Here is a 6,509-nt window from a genome sequence, read left to right on the forward strand (position 1 = left end):
CCATCAGGAGGCCACCTCTCTTTGGCAGTTCCTGATTCAGCCCCTCCCTGCCTTATCAAGAGCATCTTCCCTTAAAGGAGAAAACACAGAACAGAAAACGTCCTCTATTAAATGTCCAAAAATGTGTGGCTTCTCTGTCTTGCCTTAGTGTGAAACTGACAGGCTGTTATGACTCAAGCAGTCTCCCTGAATGGACAGACAGACAAATAGACACACAAACAAGTGGACAGTCGGTCAGCCAGTGGATAATCTATTGATGAAAAGATCCCCTGCTGGTTGAAATGGTCCTCTTGATCTAACCTTCTCCATTTCATTATGAGGAATGCAAATCCTATCATTGCTCTGCGACTATTTATCACTCTGTCTTTTCTGTCAGAGGTGCTGAATCACTGCTCATGCTTGCTGTTTCCTTCAGAAGGCATTAGCAAAGAGGCTATTTGCCTGAGAATGTTTGATCTGTTCTGTTTTTGCTGTCTGGTCCTCCACCACAGTATCTGGGACCATAAAATGATTCCCAATTCTGTGCCTGAGAGAAGGTGCTCAGATTGACTCAAGGACCATCCAAAAGGAGAGGCTAAGGCAATCCTGGGAGCCTGGGGGTGAAGCGTGTCAAGCTCAAATCTCAGGTGAGGGCTGTGGCTGGAAATGGTCTTGGAGGATCTCAGAGATGTGCATGTATATGCACATGTGTTTGTGTGTGTGCACGTGTGTGTGTGTGCATGAGTGTGTGCACATGAATATGCATGTGTGTACGTACACATGCATGGGCAGAAGAGCTTGGGCATGATGATTATGATGATGAAACCTGTGACCAGCTTTGCATGGTGGCAAATGAGCATTTGTACAGGTGCCAGTCCATGGTCAATTCAGAGTGTCTGGGCATGCAAAGGCCCTACAATGCCTCCTATAAGTACCAGTAAACCACAATGCTGTTGAGTGTGACTGGATGCCTCGGAGGGTCCCAGGCCCTGAAGGCCTTTCTTTCTATTCTGGTTTCTCTGTGGTGCCTGGCTGGGCATCTCTGAGGTCGGAAATGTCTGACATCCAAGGCTTCAGATCTCAGATGGGGAAGGGCTTGGTAGACAACAGGCTTCCCAAGGCACGACTGGCCACTTTTGCTGGGTGTACTTTGGGAAAGTCCTCCTCTCTGTTAGCTCTCTGACACCTATTTCTCAGAATATGATTGCAATACACTAAATAGAATAATGCATGTGACAGCCTTTTAGAGAGTAAGAAACACAATTCTATATTGGGACTGTTGAGGGCAAATGTACACACACTGAAATCAATCCATCCCCAAGGAAGACATGCCTGAACTATGGAGAAGTACCCATCCTAGAGGGTTCAGTATTCAACAGCATCCATTTCTTCCTCAGGGCAAAGACATTTGATCAATTAATTCCTAAAGATTTAACTCTGTTCCACCATGGGATGAAGGGTCTTGGTTGGGTTAATAGATGTGAAGGAAGTGGAAGGTCACTTTTGAGTTTGGGGATGTAGTAGGGTGGGCACTCTGGGAAGGTAACTGAGCAGGGGCTGGAGGCACCCCAAGGACAGGCTGTGTCCCTGGGAGTCCTAGAGAGATGGCGATGTCAAAGCAATCAGGTTACAGTTGCCAAAGGACTTGCTCGGGTGTTCCCAATAGGCTGGGGTCAGACACATCCCCAGGGAGTTCAGGATGGGTGGGACCAGGCCCTCAGACCCCCAGGGCAACCTGCATCTGAGGATGGGTTGTCCAAGTCTCCCTAGACAGTGCATCCTCGGGTGTATCCAGGGTCAGGGATGCAGGGTGTTGGTTTCCATCAATTCAAGGCCAGGCTGCACCCTGCTTTCCTGACCTGGTGGCTCCCGGACACTGATCTTCAGACCCAAGTGTCCCTGCTGCCCTGACCTCATCAAGAGCTCAAGGGCCAAGCCATGCACAGACTCTGATGCTGACGGAGAGCCAAGAAGGCTGCTGGCTTTGGTGTTAAAGATCTACCAGTGGTCTTGAAGACCGAGTTTCAGGAATGGGGGCTTCAGGGATCCTAACAGGGTCCAGTCTCTTCTGCTCCTTTGTGACTCTCCAGAGTTGCACAAAATCAAAACAACGCAACAGCAGCAACACACAGCAAGGGAGCCTTCGGCGGCCCCTCTTAAACGCCAAATCCATTCAGTTATTTAATTTGAATAAAAATGATTTTGTTTTGGGCTTTACTCTGGAATCTCTGGTTCCAGGGTGGTATTGTGGCTGTGAAATGGGAAAGATTAAGGACAAAACACCAGTGGTTAAGAGTGCTAGGTCCTACTTGAGATTGTGGCCTCCAATGTGGAGGGTTTGGGAAAGGAAAAGTCATATTCCAAGTTCTTGAGGTTTTCATCATGCTAAGCACCCATCCACTTGTCCAGAACTGGAAACCTATTACAGTGTGTCCTTTGTTATTTTTAGAATTTAAGATGATATTTTCCTATTTTAGTTAATGGCCTGAGAATGAGATATTGGTTGTTTGCAATAAATTGCCTGATTTGGAAGTATTGGTGCAGAGGGACTCTATAATTCAAAGTCTTTTTATAGCACAGCTTTTTTTCCTGGTCTGGAGAATTCCTTTAATCAGGTGGTGGGAGTGATTAATGACCCTCTGTGCCTGTGTGCACGTGGGGGCTCACATGTCCTGAGAATGGGAAGCTGAGGGGTGGGTAGTCTCATTGCTGCAGAAAAGGAAATCTCAGGGCCACATTCTCCACCCAGAAAGTGCATGCATCCAATTAAAGCCCTGCCGGGTCCCACCCAGATGCAAATAGGGATGAGTAGATTAATTGTTGGACTGTGCTCAAGGCCACATCCTCAGATGTGCTGGCCCAACATGCCTCTTTCTGCCCCAAAAAAGCAAAGTCAGGGTAGGGGACAGGGGGTGTAGAGTTTATTCCTCGTCTTTGTTTTTCTTCTTGTTATTTCAAAAGGAAAACATTTAACATCTTCAATCAACTTTTACTAAGCACTTCTTATGTGTCAGACACTGAGTGGAAGCAGGAGGAGAGATTTTAAAGAGAAGTCATATTCTATATTCCTCCTAGGGAGTCCACAGTTAGAGAGAGGCTCAAAAACAAACAATTGCAGCAGAAGGTGGGAAGAGCCACTCCAGGGCTGTTGTGTTGGGCTGCTGATGAGGGCGGGACTCGCCAGAGGAGTTCACCAGGCTGAAAAGGAGAGAAAGGTGTTCTCAGCTGAACTTGGAAAAGATGCAGTTGCATTGAGGCATGAAAAGCAAGAATGCTCCCCTGCCTGAGAGGATGGAGCCTCAGGCAGGGATGGGCAGGGGGGTGGGACCTAGAACATAGAGGGCTTGTAAGCCCCAGTGAAGACTGGATTTGCTTCTGCAGGCAATGGGGAGCTAGGGGATGTTGTAAAGCAGTGAAATTAAAGTGGGGCTGACAACTGAGAGCTGCACACACCTCATCATAAGGATGTGAGAGCTGAGGCCAGTGCAGAGTTGGGATAGGCCTTGGGGCATGCGGCTGATGGCAGAATTGGGATAGGACCATGGACACACGGCTGATGGCAGAGTTGGGATAGGATGGGGGGCATGCAGCTGGTGGGAGAGTTGGGATAGGACTGGGGGCACATGGCTGATGGCAGAGTTGGGATAGGACTGGGGGCAGGTGGCTGATGGCAGAGTTGGGATAGGACTGGCGGCAGGTGGCTGATGGCAGAGTTGGGATAGGACTGGGGGCAGGTGGCTGATGGCTGGCAGGACCTAAGTGAGGTCTTGGATCTCCTCAAAGGAGCCTAAATTGGTTAAATCTGGACTTACTATTGCATTCTTTTATCTTTATTAATTCATTCTCTCTCTCTCTTTTGAAAGAAGTTCTTTCTAATTTTGTTTCCCACGAGTATGTGCCAGGTACCATGTTTCCCCTTGAATCTCACTTTTCAGTGTGTCCTACGTGTACTCTGTTGGGCACACTGATGTGGGTCTGATGATATTTGTGGGAAGAAGCTTGATCAAATGAAAACACAAGAAAATGATCAGGCTCACCACAAGCTTACCACCCATTTTTCAAAGGATACCAAAAAAAAAAAAAAAAAAACAAACAAAGAAAACCATCCATGCTGACCCTCAGAATGTTCCTAAAAGGGGGTTTGGTGCTGCCCCGACCCTGACAGAGGCTTCTGGCGCTGCCCTCACCTGCGGAGGCACAGACACCAGCCCTCCCACCTGTGACTGTGCCTCCCACAATCCCACAGCCTGGCTTCCTGTTCACCTGTATCCCTGTTTTAAAAGGTCTCTAACTCACTTTTACAATGGCCTGAGGGTAAACCTCACTGTTCCTGTATCAGTGAGGAGGAAACAAGGTCATTCCCCTGAAGAAACCAGGGACATCCTCACAACTGAGACGGTGAAACTTTCAGAAGCTGGAGGACACCAAAGCCAGCAGAGCCTCCCCTGGTTCGTGCTCCCCTGGCCCCCATGGTGTTGTGACACACGAGGCTCCCAAGCTGTGTCCTGAAATGACGTTCCCTTCACATCTCTCCCACACTCAGGGTGTTGGTCCCCTGCATCAGGGTTGTCAAAACACGTGCCTGTCTGGCCTGCTGCTGAAGCATCCGGCCCCTTCTTGCCATGCCCAGTGTCCAGGCCTGGGGGAGCTCACCGCCCCCTGCAGTACTGTAGGGAAAGGCCTGTGAGGACACCTGGGGTAAGCTGTGCTAAGGAGGCTGAAGGGAGGTGGCCAAAGCATTGCTGGAATCTTACGGAGTGGAGCAGTGAGGAGAGTTGGGTCTGGAATTAAATAGAACTGAGTTCAAAAACTGGCTCTTCATCACTCATCAGAGAAATGCAAATTAAGGCTCATGCCTGTAATCCCTGAGACTTGGGAGGCTGAGGAAGGAGAGGGAGAATCACTTGAGGCCAGGACTTTAAGATCAACCTGGGTAACATAGTGAGATGCCATCTCAAAAAAATGGAAATTAAAAACACAAGGATATACCACTGCGCCCCTGCCAGAGCAATTAAAATGGAAAAGACTGATGATAGTGAGTGCTGGTGAGGGTGCAGGGCGACCCCAACTCTCATCCCTTCCTAGTGGGAGGGTAACCTGGACAACAGCTTTAGAGGGCTGAAGCTATCTCTAAAGTTAAACATGTAGACACGGCCCAGCCCAAAAGCTTCACCCCTGGGAGTATCCCCAGCAGAAAGAAATATCTGTCCTCGAAAGGCATGTCAGACATGTTCATGGCAACCTTACTCAAAATAGTCAAAACCTGGGGAGAACCCAAATATTCAACAGCAGTAAAATGGATAAACAAATTATGGTGTGTTCATACAGTAAAGTACACCACAGCAATACAACACAATAAATGATGGCTGTATGCCTCACCCTGGGTGACCACACATACACACAGCATGGGGGACACCCCAGAATAGTTACTGCTTGGTTCCACTCAAGTGATGTTGAGAAACAAGCAAACCTTGCTGGAGAGATGGAAGAGTGGTTGCCATGGGTAGCCTGATGGGAGGGGAACAGGGGAGCCCCTGGGTGATGCAGAGATTCTAGATCGAGATCTGGGAGGTGGCTCCTGGTGCCCATTTCTTTCATTGTAAATGGGATAATAAAACATGACTTTGGAGTTCTTATGGACTGAGTAAAGTGATGGACATCAGGGCTCAGCACTGTGCAGGGTGAGAAGTACCCCAGACAGGGTGCAGGGCAAGTATTTGTTTCTTCATATCCTCTAGTCCTTAGTCAAAAGGAGAGGGGGTAGAATATGGAGTCCAGAGCCTGAATGTGGGCCAGATTGGTAGATGGAGCCTCCTGCAGTTCCGTAGCCAGAGAAGTCCCAGGAGCATCTATCCCTGCAGCTCCAGAATGCTTTGCAGCTAGGGGAGCTCAGGTCCCTTAATTAGCCCACCCTCCCTGACCAGCCCCCAGGACTGCCACCACCAGAAGCTAAGGCGAGTCTCCTCTCAGCCAATGGGCCATGTCCAGGGAAGGACTCTGAAGGCCCATGATCACTCCGGTAAGGGAACCTGAGCCCAGTGGGTCCCAGCAGCCACTTGCTTGCCTTGTAGCACTGTCATTGGCCTCTGACAGCTCAGCTGGAGTCTAGCTTAGCTGCCTTTTTGTAGTTAGACATCCCACTGGCCCCATTGAACATAGACTTGAGACCCTGTGGTTAGAGGCAACAACTCCTTGCAAAGACCAAAGGCCCTTGGCTCCTCCTTGGTTCTGGGGCCTCAGCATTTGGATCTTTTCCTGGCAGACACCAGTGCTTTCAAAGGGCTGTACTGGGCGGGGCAATTGGCTTGTTCCCAGGATCCCATAATTCATGGACATGCACAGAGGCAGAAACCTGGTTAGGGGCAGTCTCTGGGACCCCCTCTCTGTTTCTCATGCTCCTCCTCTCTGCACAGGCAGCCCTCCCCTCTCCATGTGCCTCTGTGGTTTCGGGCACACTTTGTGCTGGTTTCTTCAGTGATGAGATCTCTCATTCCACTCTCTCTTCTGTGTATTCACAGGCTCCTACAGAA

The 6,509-nt window shown here is 49.3% G+C and overlaps 1 annotated feature.

Moving 5' to 3' along the window:
- Positions 5,917–6,086: an enhancer, noted in NCBI's record as "experimental_12643 CRE fragment used in MPRA reporter constructs". NCBI's record gives its function as "activates a minimal promoter by MPRAs in K562 erythroleukemia cells, with activity observed for both the introgressed and non-introgressed 10:44559188 variant alleles {active_cell/tissue: K562}" and the evidence as "EXISTENCE:reporter gene assay evidence [ECO:0000049][PMID:34662402]".

Source organism: Homo sapiens, chromosome 10, assembly GCF_000001405.40.
Source record: "Homo sapiens chromosome 10, GRCh38.p14 Primary Assembly".
Taxonomy (NCBI): domain Eukaryota; kingdom Metazoa; phylum Chordata; class Mammalia; order Primates; family Hominidae; genus Homo; species Homo sapiens.